This window comes from Homo sapiens, chromosome 21 (assembly GCF_000001405.40).
Source record: "Homo sapiens chromosome 21, GRCh38.p14 Primary Assembly".
NCBI lineage: Eukaryota > Metazoa > Chordata > Mammalia > Primates > Hominidae > Homo > Homo sapiens.
This window is the reverse complement of record NC_000021.9, coordinates 29,220,741-29,238,206: the sequence shown is the minus strand read 5'-3', so window position 1 is coordinate 29,238,206 and position 17,466 is coordinate 29,220,741. Positions and strand designations below refer to the sequence as shown.

Here is a 17,466-nt window from a genome sequence, read left to right as displayed (position 1 = left end):
TGACCATCACTATGTAATGCAAGTGGGAAATGAAAATTTGTTGGCGTGAGCCCCTGAGATTTGGAGACTATATATTATTGCAGTGAAACTGACTAATATATATGACACCACGAAGCAGTAACACAACTGCATTGAAATAAGCATTCTTTCTCTAAGGGCATCCCAATCCATGAGAGGCTTGGCTTTTATTCTAAAAATGAGTGGAAAGAGATTAGATAGGATTGGTTCAAGCACTATGTCATCTGTAGTCAGAAGGTACCAGGGATAAAGGTACAATTTTCTATCCTAGATGAACTACGTTGCTGTAAGATAAGCCATAGTTATCCTGGAGGTCACCTGTTGCACAATTCTGGAAGTGGCCATGAAATAGATCAGCCTTGAAGGAGTGTGGCACAGCATAGGTTTATATTTGCCCCACTGCAACCATTTTTTCAAACACATAGTAAGTTCACTTGTCCTCCATCTCAGGAGTCCACACACAGTCAGGGCTATTACAGTCACTAAACAGAAAGTGCTGCTTTTGGCTTCTAGTTCTGCAACTGCTTTTACGGCTCCACCTCTTCCTTTTAATTTGCTTATTAATGGCTCTTTGACAACCCCACAGCTAAGTCAGTGGCCTTGGGGGGGTATAATTACAAATACTTTAAAACTCAAAGTTAGCATGTTTTTCCAATCAATTAAAAGTACTTAAAAATATCTAGAGCAGCCAAAAGCAACCTAGGTCCTAACCACATGCACCAGGCTACAGGAACTCAACAAGGCCTGACAAATTCAGTCTTGCCAGGACCAGCAGGGAGGGGACAAGAACTGTGAGATTCAGAAAATGAGTTGGAAGGCAGTGATGCATGGCTGAGCAAAGGGGATTTGTTCCTAGAATGCTGCTGCCTAATCCAAGAAGGACAGACAGGGCTGGGAAGCAGATCTGAAGCAGAGCTATGGAAGGAACACCGCATTCCTTGGCAAGCTTAGCTCTGATGGTGGGGCCTGGGGCTCATAAGGACAGCCAGCCACATGCTCACTGGCTCAATCAGAGATGGTTCCTCCTGCCTCTGGAGTGACTTATTCTTCAGAAGATTAGGAGCAAAGAGGATACATTCTTTGGCTAGCCCAGCTTGATTCCCTCTTTGGCTAGACTCACCCTCTGGGTCTTACGGAATCTACAAAAGGACGAAAAGGAACTCACTGGCAAGTAAAGCTTAATGGGAACAAAACAAGGATTGTCCAACAAGGATGACCTATCACAAGGATGCTAGAACTCCTGACAGGCCAGTCTTCTTCTTTTAAGGGTGGGGAAACTGGGCCCAGAGATGCAAAATGACCCACCTAAGGCCAAAGTCAATGACAGCATGGCAGAGGCAGGGCTCAGGGCCTGACCGATGAATTCCTGACTGATGCCGAGAGCTCTTCCTTAAGTCTCTACACTAGCCTATTCTGAAATAAATACAAGGACCTTGTAGGAGCCCCTAAAGTCAGAGAGAAGGTGTGACTACAACAGGAAGGGCTTATGTATCCGAAACACTGTTGTTATTGACAATTGATCCACCCAAGACATCGACTTTTCCACATAATGTTTTCACAAAGAATAGGGGTGTGAGATACTGTTGTGTGGATATTATCCACATGTGGAAGGAAAGAAAATCAATATGTGATGTACAAACCATTGAAACTTCATATTTGAGAATTCTGCAAGTCAACCATTATTGTCAATGGACAGGATCCTCCCTAATGAGAATTTCATAAAGCGTAAGTATAATACATCACACTCCATTAGGGGCTGGGGGTAGGGAACTGGAGGAGGTTGAAAAGGAGGGGCTCAGAGAGGAAGGAAGATGAGGGAAGTGATTAAGAAAAAACACTGACAAGTAGTGAAAACAAAGAACTTGCCTGGAGTGGATGCAGCTAAATGAAGTTTTCCTATGAGAAACAAGGTAAAGGACTCATTTAAAATGCCTGCAGGTAGACTGAAAGTTGTTTCCAAACACCGGATTGACAAAAAGATCTTAGAAATAGACAGAAAATGCCAATGCCTGTAGCTCTTTCTGACTCTTGCCAGTGGTCATGCTTTCATTTCCTCCCAAATCAGATCCTAAGTACCTATTCAGCAAAATAGAATACATGAGATCACAAACAGACACTTTCAACCACCAGAAACACAACTTCACTTAATTCTACAAATATTGTCAAGCTCCAGTGGGAGATGTTCTTTCCCCTGGCATTTGGTTGCGTTTGATTTTCACAAAATAGTGAACTTCTCAAGAGGAAATGCTTCTCTAGAGCTTGCTGGATTGATTTAGTCACTTCTCCCGACTGCCCCTCAGGGTCCCCATTAATTGCTACTTGGGGCAGACTATGACCAGTTTCTCTCGGCATAAACCACACAATAACCATGACAGCATAGCTTTGAGGGTTTACTAACCTGTGACACACTCAAACCATGCGAACTAAAGGGTTTCAAAAATCCTGAAGCACCTGAAATGTTTCTGAAAATGATTCTATGACCTGGCTATTAATAGGGATGAAAACAAGTTTGAAAATTAAGAGAGAATGAGAAGTTAGATGGGAAGTTGCATGCAACTTGGGTTCTTTCCCTGCAAAGTAAGGCAAAGCAGACACAAGAGAGGACTTGAGCTTACACTCATTTTGGAGGAAAATTCCTTGTGATGCTACCCTCCCCACATCCCTGGAGCCCCCACCCCACACCATAAACCTGATCCTTGAAATAATTAAAATCCACTTCTACAAAAGGGAAAATACTAAGTAGATTGATTTTAAACCTTCCACAGTAATGCAGTATGTATCAGGGCAACAGTGGTGTTGGATTGATACTAGGAGAGAAATTCAGTCTTTGCCAGAGCAGTGACTTTATAGCCAACTCCTCATCATGTCAACCTGAAATAATCTAAAGGGTCAGATTCCAATTTTAGAGAGTTTATTCAAGCAAAAAGCTGGGAATGGCCATTTCTGGATGCTCTGTCCCAGAGAAATGGGGGTAGTGCTCTGAAGTTAAAAGCTAAATTCTCTTTTATATAGGAAAAAGCAAAGAAATTTAACAAGATTACAACATTTTCAATACAGGGCCAGTTTATGAGTTACAACAAATTAATCAGTTTCTTTTCTTTTCTTTTCCATGCAGCTTGTTTTCTTTTCTTTATCGCTCCTTTTCATTTCCTTTTGATTTTAAAAGAGTGTGCTTAACATTCCATCTTGAGGCATTGAGATGGCCATAAAGTTTTTGTGTGAGAAGAAAGAGGTTAATCTATAATGAAAGTCAATAGTAAGAGGGAAGGGGTCTCCTCTGGCATCCTTCACTGATATGGACAGGAAACAGGGAAATACTGGGTAGAAGGGGGCGGTTCCCCAACAAACGGCCCACCCTCAAGCCTGAAGACCGGCAGCCCTAAAGGAGGACAGGCATTTCTGTTTTCATGGCCAAAATTTGCCTTTTGGCCTGCCATGCACCCCCCATCCTGCCCCCATACAAACCCAAGACCTTAGCGGGCACATACACAAGAAGCTGGACATCAAGACCAGCAGACCAGTGGACCAGTGAACCAGCAGACCAGTGACAGTGGAACAATGCAGCAGAGAAAGAGAGAAAAGGAAGGATGTCTGGACTCATAGGGGAGCTTGGCCAGGGGTGGCTGGAGAAGAGTTGGGCCGCTGGATGCCCGACTCCAGGGAAAGACCACCTTCCCACTCCATCCCCACTTCTGCCTCCCCATCCATCTCACTGAGAGCCACCTCCACCACTCAATGAAACCTTGCACTCATCCTTCAAGCCCATGTGTGATCTGATTCTTTCAGGACACTGGACAAGAGCTTGGGATAAAGAAAGTTGTCACGCTGGCCCCCTGCCCTCACAATAAGGCAGAGGGTCCGTTAAGCTGATTAACACACAAGCCGTCTGCAGACAACAAATCTGAAAGAGCTTTGTAATACATGCCTACATGGGCTTCGAGTGACACAGAGACCCACCCCTAGACTCTGCCGTGGGACAGGAGCCCAAAAGTGCTTGTACTGGCCTCTGCACCTGCCTGTCTGCATGCTCCTCCTTTGAGCTTTGGGGCGACCAAGCAGGTGAGCTACACCTGTCGCACGTCCTACAACCATTCACAACATTTTACAAAATAATGTAGGTAAGGGAAAAGACAATTCAGACAATCAAAAATATTACAAAAAGTTCACAGCTGCCTAGTTTACAGCTGCCTGTCTTGTGACTCAGGCCCCATAATTCACATTTCCTTATGGCTCAAAATAATTTAGAGTTCCAACAGCTTAGATTTTGAATCACTTATTTTCACAATCACAAAGCATAGTAGGAGTCCCAGAGAGAGAGCATAGCTCACACATAATCCAAAAGTCTTTTGTAGCCCATAGTTTCAAAATCACTCTCCCCAAGAAAGGTGAGGAAAGCTGGTATCATAGAAACCAAATGGGCCCGTCTGAGTTTCATTTCCCTCCCGCTGAGAGGTAATGATGAAACACCATACAAGTACTGCTTTGAAAAGCACCTGGATTCCCCAGGTTCTTTTAGATTACCTCATGGGAAATAAAATAGAAACAAATTTAAAACTATAACTAGGTTGGTTTTTTGTTTGTTTGTTTACCAGTTAAGACCTTAGGTAGGTACATGCTATGGGCTGAATTGTCTTCCTGCAACCTCCGCCAAATGTATATGTTGAACTCCAAACCTCTAGTACCTCAGAATGTTCCTGTTTTGGGACATGATAAAAGAAAAACTTCAGTCGGTTTAAATTTAAAGGAGTTTAATTGAGCAATGAACGTTTCACAAATCAGACAGCCCCCAGAATCACAGCAGATTCACAAAGACTCCAGCGCAGCCATGTGGTGGAAGATTTATAGACCAAAAAAAAAAAGAGAAATGACGTTCAGAAATTGGAAGTGAGGTACAGAACGGCTGGATTGGTTAGAGGTTGGCGTTTGCCTTATTTGAACACAGTTTGAGCACTAAGCAGTGTATGAATGGTTGAAATATGGCTGCTGGGATTGGCTAGGATTTAGCTATTGTTACAGGTGCATACTACTAAGTTAGGTTTTCAATTTTATCTGCCTATTAAGTTAGGTTACGGTTCATCCGCAAGGACTCAAATATAGAAGTAGGGAGTCCTTCTCAGGCTATAGTTTGCTTTAACAGACATAAAGGCTTTAAAGAGGTAATTAAGGTAAAATGAGGTTATTGGCATGGGTCCTAATGTAATCTGACTGGTGTCCTTATAAGATTAGGACACAGACACACAGAAGGAAGACAATCTGAAGTCACAGATCTACAAGCCAGGGAGAGGGGCCTCAGAAGTCAACCTGCTGACACATTGATCTTAGATTCACAGCTTCCAGAACTGTGAGAAAACAAATTTTTGTTTTCTGAGTCACCTAGCGTCCTTCTGGCACTTTTTTATGGCAGCCCTAGTGAACTAATATAGTATATTAACTTCTCCACAATTTTAGTGCATATTTAAAAATCCACCCTTAGGGAGTTGCTTACTAATCTGTCTCTCACTTTTAATGCTTTGTTGACGTCCACATTGCATCAGAGCCATGTCAGAATAACTGAAATAATAGCACAGCCAGTCTGGAGGTTTGGGCTGTCAGATTCGTAACCCTTGATCCAACTCTGTGGACATCATCGACATGTACAGTTTGTTACGATCTCCGCTTTACAGATATGAAAAATGGGGCTTGAAGAGGCTACAATACTTGTTCGAGTTCGGCAACTGGAGAAGGGAAGGGCTAGGATTTGAACCTAGATGGCTTGAGTCAGAGGGTGTGCTCTTAACAATTATGGGACACTGTCTCCCTAAGCAGGGAGGAGAGGAACTGTGATATTGAAACTGCCTTTGCAAAATTATGACTGAGACAGTGAAAGAGATCTGACCTAACCAACTCCATCTTCCTTCTAACCTTTAAGCTGTCCTTGTCCCTTCCTGGGCATAGACCGAGCTAACTTTGGGAGGAATTTATAGTTTACAACAAAGACCATAACAGCCCTTTCCCAAAACAAGCCTCCTTCTTGCCTGGGGACTAGACTGCCTTTATAGGACCAATTAGCCACAAGATTTGAAATTATGTTTTAGGACTTACGCAGCTGGAGGCTACAGGATTCTGACCCTCCCTAAACTGCTCATAAGATTAGTGCTTGAAATATTTTGCAGATATTTTGATGGATCAGCTGGCACCACCCAGACTGATAAACTGGCTCACCTGATCTTGTGGCCCCCACCCAGGAATTGACTCAGCACAAGAGGACAGCTTCAACTTGCCATGATTTCATCTCTGACCCAACCAAGCAGCACTCTCAATTCACTGGTCTTCCCCCACCCACCAAGTTATCCTTAAACACCCTGGGCCAGGCCCAGTGGCTCACGCCTGTAATCCAAGCACTTTGGGAGGCTGAGACAGGCAGATCACAAGGTCAAGAGATCGAGACCATCCTGGATAACATGTGAAACCCCGTCTCTACTAGAAATACAAAAATTAGCTGGGCATGGTGGCAGGCACCTGTGGTCCCAGCTACTCGAGAGGCTGAGGCAGGAGAATCACTTGAACCTGGGAGGCAGAGGTTGCAGTGAGCTGAGATCGCGCCACTGCACTCCAGCCTGGCAACAGAATGAGACTCCATCTCAAAAAAAAAAAAAAAGACCTGTGATCCCCAAATGCTCAGGAAGACTGATTTGAGTAATAATGAAACTCTGGTCCCCCACACAGCCGGCTCCGTGTAAATTATTCTTTCTCTATTGCAATTCCCCTGTCTTGATAGATTCTGTCTAGGCAGCAGGCAAGGTGAACCCACTGGGTGGTTACAATATATCTGAGCTTTAGTGACTGAGAGAAAGGTTGAATCACTGGCAGAAACAGAGAAGATCCCAAAGTCTTCTTGTGAAGAGAAACGTGATGAGGTGGATGTTAGACCTGTTAATTTCAATGGAGAGCCTTCACACAGAGCTGGGAGATTCATGGCAGGGCCATGGGTGAAGAACTGGGGCTTCTCCATTTAAGGCATGGAAGCAGAGGAGACCTCTAAGCAGAAAATTGCAAAGAAGAGAATTACAAATCCTTCCTTTGGGTGTGGCCACAGTTAAGATGAGAATGAGGGAGCGGCAGCTGTGAAGAAGCCAGAGAGGCCGAGCGTAACCAGAAAACACAGAGTCCTGGGATTCCAGGGTAGAATATGTCAGGGATGTGGTAGTAAACACTCAGAACAGCAAACTGCTGACTAGTGCTGTCAGCAAACTGAAATAAGCACTGCATTGAGGGCAGGCAATTGGTTTAACTCCAACATACTCAACTTTTCATTATTGAGATATTCTGGGCACCATCTAATAAAAACTAGCATTTTCCAAAAAACTTCTTAATTCTCAGTCCTCACTTACATATTGAAAAAAATTGTAAAATACACAGAAACAGAAACATATGATTGGCTTTATAAATAATCATAATGATCTGAATCAGCAAATACTGTAAATACAGCAAATACTGTAAAATCACTTCTTAAATTCAGAAAATATTCAAGCATTTTAAAAACCAACAGAGATAGCTACATGTTGACAAAATAATGGATATTAGTAACTGTCTAGTGATCTCTAACAAACTGTAAAAAACAAAACTGTAATATAGTAAGAAAGAATTAGAAACCCCATTGTTAGGCTTAATCTGTGAAAAGATATTTTAGTAGTTTTGTTGATAATGAAAAAAGTGCATATAGCCCAGATATTTATTATTTTTTAAAAAAATTAGACTAGCTCTTACTACCCAATGTAGTCTTTGAGTTGGAAAGACAATCCAAGCTAAATCACTACACCAAATATATAGATAGAAATTTTCCCTACAACGTGCCTAATAGATGGTCATGCAATAGTCCTGATATGGTTTGGCTCTGTGCTCCCGTCCCCAAATCTCATCTGAAATTATAATCCCTACATGTCAGGGGAGGAACCTGGTGAGAAGTGTTTGGATCATGGGGGCGGGTTTCCCTCTGCTATTTTCATGACAGTGAGTTCTCACGAGATCTGATGGTTTAAAGTGTGGCACTTCCCACCTTGTTCTCTCTCTCTCCTGCTGCCTTGTGAAGGAGGTGCTTGCTTCTCCTTTACCTTCTGCCATGATTATAAGTTTCCTGAGGCCTCCCCAGCTATGTGGAACTGTAAGTCAATTAAAACTCCTTTCTTTATAAATTACCCAGTCTCGGGTAGCTCTTTATAGCTGTGTGACAACAAACTAATACAAGTCCATATCATTGTCTTTTATTAATTATAGAAAGCTCTTCTTAATACTGAGTTTAAACCTGCCTCCCTATAACATCAATTAGAATACTTCCCTTGGGACAGAATAAGACAATCTATAATAAAATAGCCGGCCCCCTTTTTTTTTTTTTTTTTTTTTTTTTTTTTTTTTTTTTGAGACGGAGTCTCGCTCTGTCGCCCAGGTCGGACTGCGGACTGCAGTGGCGCAATCTCGGCTCACTGCAAGCTCCGCTTCCCGGGTTCACGCCATTCTCCTGCCTCAGCCTCCCGAGTAGCTGGGACTACAGGTGCCCGCCACCGCGCCCGGCTAATTTTTTGTATTTTTAGTAGAGACGGGGTTTCACCTTGTTAGCCAGGATGGTCTCGATCTCCTGACCTCATGATCCACCCGCCTCGGCCTCCCAAAGTGCTGGGATTACAGGCGTGAGCCACCGCGCCCGGCCTAATAGCCGGTCTCTTAATAAATTAACCTTCTCTTCTGTACACGCCTAATTCTTCCATTGGACTTCCTAGTATGTGGTTTTTAGACCCTCCTTGCTGATCTATCATTATTTGTGTGCACTCCAGGTTAACAACTGACCATTAAAGTGTAACAGACAAATTTTAATTTAATACTCCTGCAAAGACCTGATCATTATATTTGTTACTGAACAAATAATAATTAAGAATCTACCAAGCACAATACATTGAGCTGAACATTGGGGATAAAACATGTGGTTTAGAATGCAGATCTTCAATATCTGCAGTGACTATCTCAGCTTTTGGGGGCTGTGTGGTATTTTGGTCTCACAGCAAATTTGTAATTAATTTATTTGTTTATGTCTTATTTTCGTTTTTACAAAAGCTGCTGCCACAAAGATTTTCAGATCTTATATCTTATCATTGCAGATTTGCTCTTTTAAAGCTGACAATAGTAACTTACATATTTCATGCCATTTCATAGCCAGTTGTCCAACCTGGTGAGATTACTTAGAATTTTCATCTTCAACTAGCAGCAAAAAAAGAAAAAAAAAAGAGTTCTTTTCGCTAAGCTGGCAGCTTTTTGCATTATAAATTTTTAAATTTGATAAATGTGGCTTTTATGCTTATATTCAAGTCTCCGATAACATTTTCACAGAAGTCAAAGAACAAAGAAACTTCTTTTAAGGTTGACCTCCCTTGGTTTATACCCTTTTTGTGTGACTGTCCAACTACTTAAAAAATCATCTGGAACATCAGAGGTAGCCATCCCACATGCTTTTATCTCGCTCATAAGATTATTAAAATAGGCTTTATTCATGTATAATACAATAATAAAGGTTGCCAGGGGTTCATTTGTGCTGTTTATTGTTACTTTTATGAAGAAAAATGAAGAACTGCACAGATATCTAACGGATAAGAAGGCTGAAGGAGGAACCAACCACAAAAACAACAGCAGAAACTGTCTGTAAGGAAACCACAAGGCCCAGATAGTGGGACACACCACCAAATCATGTACATCATGTACAAAAGGTCATGACAATGAAGAAATCCTTATCCCTTTGAAAACTCCCATGTTTCTAGGCAATATGCCTCTTCACTCTGCTAGGATATTGTAGAAATGTTTAGGGTGCATGAAAGGATAAGTACATTATAGGATGCAGTAGATACCATACAATGATAATAGAGATGGAGACCACCCACTTGGGTCATGGAAGATGAAGCCTTTGAGGACTTAGAGTTAAGATCTGATCATTCTTTTTGTAGACAGTCTTGAGACTGGTCCTTGCTAATTCATTTGAATTTGCTGATTACTTTATCTTATTCTGTGTGGATTTTGGCCCAATGATGACAACTGGTGGTGGGGGGGAGGGGTGGTCCCAGAACAAATAAGTGAACATTTTGTCTGCTATTTTATTGTGATCATACAATCTAGGAAACTTAGAATAGAAAGAAAATTGGAGTTTACTTTACCTGATCTATTCGAAGGAAACGTGTGTCAGTCCTGATTGATTGCCATCTTCTATTCCAAATGTTCAACAACGATCTAGCTAATAAAAAATTCTGAGAAAAGGATTTCTCAGATACACTTTTTAAATATTTGCACATTTCCAAGCTTCTTTCATCTCTGCAGTTCCCTACTGTCTCTGATAACACATCCAGGAGACCTTTATACCCTGAAAAGTAATTTACCTAATACTGGGGGTATGAGCACATTTAAAACACCTTCAGGTTCTCTTACCCTTTATTCTCCTATTCTGGGCTTGATGTTAGAGTGGGAAGAAAACAGCTTTAAATTAAGACCACATACCAGACTCCTGGTTCTGCCACTTATTAGCTGAGTTACTTTGGGAAAATTACCAACCCTCCCAAGCCTCACTTTGTTTCTCTATTCAATTGAGGGTTCCTGTTAATTCACAGAGTTACTATAAGGACAAAATGAAAATATGCAAGCAAACAAAATTAATTAAAGATATTATTCTCACATTACAATTGTTAACTTTTCCAGTTGGAATTTCATATCCCTTAATGCAAAAGATTTGAACTTCACTCAATAATTATTGAGTACTTACTATGTACCAAGATAAATATGAAAAAGATACAGTCTCTGCCTGAAGCGGGCTTAGACAAGTAAAATGTAAGTGTCAAACAGCGTGTACAGGATATTTTGAGAGTACACAGGGGACTGAGATGAGGAAGGTCAGGGAGGCCACCAAAGGAGCTTATTCTTGAATCTTCTAAGCATGTCTTAGACAGGAGAGGAGCTGTGACAAGGGAGAGCACCCCAAGCATAAAGAACAATTTGTGTAAAGTCACAGAGATGAATAAAAGCTTGGTGAAATAAACGCAATGGCTGGAGTACAAAAACAAGAGAGTGTCAACATGTGAAAATGGACACTGGCAGGGATCTGATCACAAACAAACAAACAAATAAACAAACAAAAACACAGAAAGAGCAAATGTGCCTGGGAGTTTATTCTCTATCTCAACCACTGCAGAGGGCCTCTGCTATGTTCTGTTTGTGTCCCCCAAAATTCATATGGTGAAATCCTAACCCCCAACATGATGATATTAGGAAGTGTGACCTTTTGTGGAGTGATTAGGTCATGAGGGCAGAGACTTCATTAATTGGATGAGTGCCCTTGTAAAAGAGGCTTCAGAGAGCTAGCTTGAGCCTTCCACCATGTGAGGACACAGCTAGAGGACGTCTTCTATGAACCAGAAATAGACCCTCCCCAGACACTGAATGTATTGGCATCTTGATCGTGGACTTCTCAGGCTCCAGAACTGTGTGAAACAAATGTTTATTGTTTATAAGCCACCTAAGTTTATGGATTTTTGTTATAGCAGCCTGAAAGACTAAGGCAAACTCTAAAGGATTTCCATGATAGTGAGGGGTAGATAATATTCCTAGAATCATACTTTAAAAATATGGCTTGGCTACAACATAGAGAATAGTTTAGAAGGAAGCTAAAGCCAAAGGCGGAAAAATCATTTAGAGGCTTCTGAAATAATCCTGGAAAGAAGTAAAGGGAATCTGAACAAGTGCAGTGCAGATAGGCTAGAGAAAATGGAATGCCTCCTAGAGATATTAAAAAGGCAAACTTTCAAAACTAACACACCAGTTGGGGGATTAGGGAAAGGGGATAGTGAAGTACCCCAGTTTTTGTCTTGGATAAGTGACATTTGAAAAAGAAAGGTATGTAACAGGAAAAGGAATTGGAAAACAGATGATGAAATTCATTTTGAACATATTAACTTGAGATACATCGATTTCAAGATCTAGAGGTCTTATTTTGTTTTACTTTGAGATAAAATCTAATTTTCTTGGAATTCTTTGAGATAAAATCTAATTTTCTTGGAATTCTATCAACTGAAAATTTCTATTATTTGGAACTGACTTGGCAAGATCAGGAGTGAAAGAGAATATATGACTACAAACCCCATGGATGTGAAAAAAAGATAATATATAATGGCTACAAGTAATTCTATACACATACATTTGACAACTGAGATAAAATGGACCAATTTCTCCAAAATCAATAAATACCAAAGCTTACCTAAGATGAAATAGATAACCTGGATAGTCCTAAAACTATTAAAGAAATTGAATTGATAGTTTAAACATCTGAAAAAGGTATCTCTTGGACAAATTATTTCACCAATCAGTTCTACCAAACATTTAAAAAAGAAATAGCACAAATTCCACATAAGCTCTTCCTTAGAAGAGGAGGAAACACTTCCCACTTTATTTTACAAGACCAACATTAGCTAGATACCAAATAAACAACCTAATCTTAAGGGAAAAAAAACTAAAGCAAACAAGAAACAGAAGGAACATTTTCTTTAGTTTTCTTTTTAAAAAAATTCTCTTGTATATTTTTGTTGTTTATTCATTTATATGACTCGACTGCAGTAAGAAGGAACATTTTCAAAAAAGCTTTGAGTAATAGGACAAGCTTACAATAGCCACTTGAATTTGACAAAATGAGAGCAAAAAGATTAGAATATAAAGAATGCTGTAGTATGAAACAGGAAATAAGAACCAAAATAATGTCATCAAAATTAAGCAAGCTAAAAACACAAGTTAAATAAGATCAAAAGAGCAGAAAACAAAATCAATATACTTACATTTAGAAAAAGATTGTGATAATTACAGTAATGCAAATAACATGAGGTGCTTAAAGAATCATAAAGAAACTACTAGATATGGAGGACAAAAATAGAGAGCCCAACAAATGTTAACTGATGTCTCAGAAGAAAAAATAACTCAACAGTGGAATAAGAAAAGTATTACAAAGATATATCACAAAATAAGTAACAGTCCTGAAATGAGAACTCAATTGGCACAGTGAATGAACATGAAAATTAAGTATGGACCTCTTTGATATGTATCTTTGTTAAGTTATTGAATTGTAAGAATGAAAAATAATTGTTCAGGTATCAGAAAGCTAATCACCTACAAGGAGAAAAAAAACCATACGGACCTCAGACTTCTGCAAAGCCAAACACCCAGCTAGAAATGAGAACTATCTGCAGTGTGCTGTTCAATATGACAGCTACATCTGTGTTTTGAGCACTTGAAATGTGACCACTTTAAACTGAGTTTCATTCCGAATATAAAATACATCCTGAATTTTGAAGACTTTATGAATAAAAAGGTAAAAATCTCATTAACATTTTATGTTGATTACATGATGAAACATTTATATATATTGGGTTAAATAAAATATATTAGTAAAATTAATCCAATTTAGAAATGGGCAAAGGACATGATTAGATTATTTTCTATGCCACAGTATTAACAATATGACTTAACTGTTGCTCTTTAACTCTTTAATAACCATATACCACAAAACTGGCAGAATTGCTTTTCTTTAAAATAGTCATTGAAAAATATTCTTACCCAGCAAGATTTCATTTAGAACTGAAAATTTTCAGGGTATAAAATAAGCAATTGTGTTACAATTATGATCTGCCATATGAGGTTCAAGCTTCTCCAGATGTTGACCGTGTTTGTGCTTTCTCTGCCTTTTCTCCAAGTTACTTACTGCTTTCCTCTATAGCATTAGCTATTTTTAAAAATAAGCTACTATTTTTGTTTTTCAGCTTAGGCTCTTTGGTCAACTGAGGTCAACTATCCTGGTACCGTGAGATCCCCATTTATATCATCTCACCCTAAAAATATATCCCTCCAAAGTCAAAAGATGTCTTTTTCTTTCTGAGTCATTGTATATTAGTCCGTTCTCACAGTGCTACAAAGATACTACCTGAGACTGAGTAATTTATAAACAAAAGAGGTTGAATTGACTCACAGTTCCTCATGGCTGGAAAGGCCTCAGGAAACTTACAATCATGGCAGAAGGGGAAGGGGAAGCAAGGTATGTATTACACGGTGGCAGGAAAGAGAGGAGCACGCAGGGGAAACTGCCACTTATAAAACCGTCAGATCTCATGAGAACTCACTCACTATCATGAGTACAGCATGGTGGAAACCGCCCCCATAATCCAATCATCTCCCACTAGCTCCCTCCTTCAACATGTGGGAATTACAATTCAGATTATAATTCAAGGTAAGATTTGGGTGGGGACACAGACCCAAACCATATCACACTGTGACAAGTATCTGACTCTTGAAGAATTGTTAACTACTAGAATTTCAGGCAGTAAGAAAGCACTGGGATGAGAAAATCCTTTTGTCAAAATACCTGTATTTCTTGCTGTTTCTGCTTCAGTTTTTCTCCCATGGTTAGAAAAGAGATTTTCCAGTCTTCGGGGTGGAAAGCTGTTCACAGAACACAACAAAATTGAAAGGGGCTTCCCAGTTCTCTGAGAAAAGCAACAACTGGAGCTTTATAAGAAAGTGCCTGTAACTCAATAAACAACTCAGATATTTTTTACAAGGGAGCTTAATTTCCAAAATGATAAATCCATTGCCTGATACTGATTCACATATGAACATAAAACATCTGAACTCTTTATTAAATACTATCTTTCAGTATAATTTCTTTTCTTTTCTTTTTTTGAGTACAGGAGACTTTATTGATGGTACACAAGGTGGGGCTCCCTAGGCCCCTCCCACTTCAGGGTGTTTGCCATGGAACCAGTGAGGCAGGGAGATTCTCACTGTCATGGGGGACTGGGTGTGGCATGGACTCCCCAGCAGCTGAGGGCCTCTCTTTTCCCTCTCGTGCTCTCGCTGGGGCTGGCAGTCTGGGGGCCTTACTCCTTTGAGGCCTACCACCCTATTGCTGTAGCCAAATTCACTATCATACCAGGATATGAACTTGAAAAAGTGGTTGTTGGGGGCAATGCTGATCCAGCATGGAAAGTGGAAGAGTAAATGTCACTGTTAAAGTTGGAGGAGACAGCCTGGTGCTCAGTGTAGCCCAAGATGCCCTTGAAGGGGCCCTCCAATGCCTGCATCACCACCTTCTTGATGTAATCATATTTGGCAGGTTTCTCCAGATGGCAGGTCAGGTCCATGACCGACATATTGGTGGTGAGGACATGCCAGTGAGCTTCCTGTTCAGCTTGGTAGATGCAGCACCAGTAGATGCACAGATGATGTTCTGGAGAGTCCCGCGGCTGTCGCACCACTGTTTCCCAGAGGGGCCATTCCCTGGTCTTGTAGGTGGCAGTGATGGCATGGACTGTGGTCATAAGTCATGATGCCAAAGTTGGCATGGATGACCTTGACCAGGGGTGCGAAGAAGTTGGTGGTACAGGAGGCATCGCTGATGATCTTGAGGCTGTTTTTGAACTTCTCATGGTTCACCCCCATCACGAACATGGGGTCATCAACAGACAGGGCAGAGATGATGACCATTTTGACTCCCTACTCTCAGTATGCCCCAGCCTTCTCCATGGGAGTGGGAGTGAAGATGCCAGTGGGCTCCCCAACATAATGAGCACTGGCATCACCCCATTTGCTTTTGGTGGGATCTTCCTCCGGGAACACGGTGATAGGATTTCCACTGATGACAAGTTTCCCATTCTCAGCCTTGCCAATGCCATGGAATCATACTGGAATATGCAGAGCATGTAGTTGAGGTCAATGAAAGGATCATTGATGACAACAATATCTGCTTCCCAAAGTTAAAAGCAGCCTTGGTGACCAGGCACTCAATATGGCCAAATCCGTTTAGTCTGACCTGCACTTCCACCATGGTGTCTCAGGGACACGGCTGACACTGCATGAGAAAATGTGGCTGCCAAACCGGAGGAGCAGAGAGCCTAATTTCCTTTTAAATACCTTAAGGATCTTGCTTATGAGCCCACACGTGGCCAAGATATCTTAAGCAAGGTTGCCAATCATTCATTAAGTGACAAACATTTCAATTTTACTACTTTTAATAAGTTCTACCATGTGTTTAAATATTGACCTAAATATAGTACTTTGGGCTTAAAAAGAAAAAAACACAATCCTTTTCAACTGAATGATCTACACTATGCTTCACAAGTAATCTCATGTCAATAACCATCCATTTTCTGAAACTCACTAACACTGTAATGGAGCCAGTTTATTGCCAAAAAGGAAAAGAAAAATGAAGCCCTTTGTACTCTACCAATTATTTCAATTTTCTTCTGATCTCAGCATGGCTCTGAGGCTGTGCCATCTTGGTGGCATGGTAAATTATTAGATATTTTCATGATACATTTTACTCAATGTCCATTCAAACATTAAAAAACTAATTTTCTCTCGAAGAGAAAAATCTGTTCTGGACTTCAGATAGGATAATTCTCCAGCATTCCTTAAATAGTGAGGTGCGTCATCAAACCCAAAGCGCCACACACTCAGGGTCCCTACAAAAATAGTCATTTTGTTTGCTCAGCTGCACATAACCCCACATATCTCAGCCCCATGCATGCTTGGTATATTTAGTAACCGCTCAAGTTGCTTATCTTTCTTTAGCATATTCTTTAATAATCCTAAGTAAAAAGTTTCTGCTGCTCCAAAAACACATTCCCATTTTGCTTATGGTCAATGTGTCTTGTGGTTTGAGATTCTTTCGCCCACTCTTACATTCAGGGAAGGTTATCACTTCTCCACAAAATTCCATTAAAGGAGCTTCGATAGGAGATGAGATCATATTTGCAATGCAGGAATTATTGGGCCTCTGCATCCACAAGTATAAGCATTGTGGTTACCACCTGCAGGCAGTATGACAGTCAAAATGACTGGGCAGATGGAGCCTGTTGCTTTGCTCCATCCAGTATGTCTTGCTTCTTACTTCTCAGTCGGTGATAAGGAGAATGAATGAGCAGGGTGATTTTCTATCAGTATATCCAAAATAGCCTGGCCCAGTGGCTCACGTCTGCAATCCCAGAACTTTGGGAGGCCCAGGCAGGTGGATCACTTGAGGTCAGGAGTTCAAGACCGCCCTGACTAACATGGTGAAACCTTGCGTCTGCTAAAAATACAAAAATTAGCTGGGTGTGGTGGCGGGAGCCTGTAGTCCCAGCTACTTGGGAGGCTGAGGTGAGACAATTGCTTGAACGTGAGAGGTGGAGGTTGCAGTGAGCCAAGATTGTGCCACTGCACTCCAGCCTGGGTGACAGAGTGAGATTACATCTCAAAAATAAAATAAAATAAATTCAAAATATTCGTGGTGCTTTCCGGATTTTAAGGAAAAGGGATGTATACCAAATGATTTCTAATAAGGCTTCAACTTATATTTCTAGGAAGACCAAAAGGAGGTGGTTGTATTTGTTCTTTTTTTTTTTTTTTCCTGTGAATAAGGAAGGA

The 17,466-nt window shown here is 40.7% G+C and overlaps 1 long non-coding RNA gene and 1 pseudogene across 1 annotated transcript in view, besides 4 other annotated features; both read right to left on the bottom strand.

Moving 5' to 3' along the window:
* The window catches only part of LINC00189 (long intergenic non-protein coding RNA 189), a 94,712-nt gene that overhangs the window by 49,999 nt on the left and 27,247 nt on the right, over positions 1-17,466 (bottom strand). The gene's annotated exons all lie outside the window — the stretch shown is intronic.
* Positions 879-978: an enhancer, noted in NCBI's record as "active region_18346". NCBI's record gives its function as "activates an Ori minimal core promoter by ATAC-STARR-seq in GM12878 lymphoblastoid cells {active_cell/tissue: GM12878}" and the evidence as "EXISTENCE:reporter gene assay evidence [ECO:0000049][PMID:35858748]".
* Positions 2,216-2,295: an enhancer, noted in NCBI's record as "active region_18345". NCBI's record gives its function as "activates an Ori minimal core promoter by ATAC-STARR-seq in GM12878 lymphoblastoid cells {active_cell/tissue: GM12878}" and the evidence as "EXISTENCE:reporter gene assay evidence [ECO:0000049][PMID:35858748]".
* Positions 3,971-4,070: an enhancer, noted in NCBI's record as "active region_18344". NCBI's record gives its function as "activates an Ori minimal core promoter by ATAC-STARR-seq in GM12878 lymphoblastoid cells {active_cell/tissue: GM12878}" and the evidence as "EXISTENCE:reporter gene assay evidence [ECO:0000049][PMID:35858748]".
* Positions 4,501-4,680: an enhancer, noted in NCBI's record as "active region_18343". NCBI's record gives its function as "activates an Ori minimal core promoter by ATAC-STARR-seq in GM12878 lymphoblastoid cells {active_cell/tissue: GM12878}" and the evidence as "EXISTENCE:reporter gene assay evidence [ECO:0000049][PMID:35858748]".
* Positions 14,741-15,953, bottom strand: GAPDHP14 (glyceraldehyde-3-phosphate dehydrogenase pseudogene 14; annotated as a pseudogene).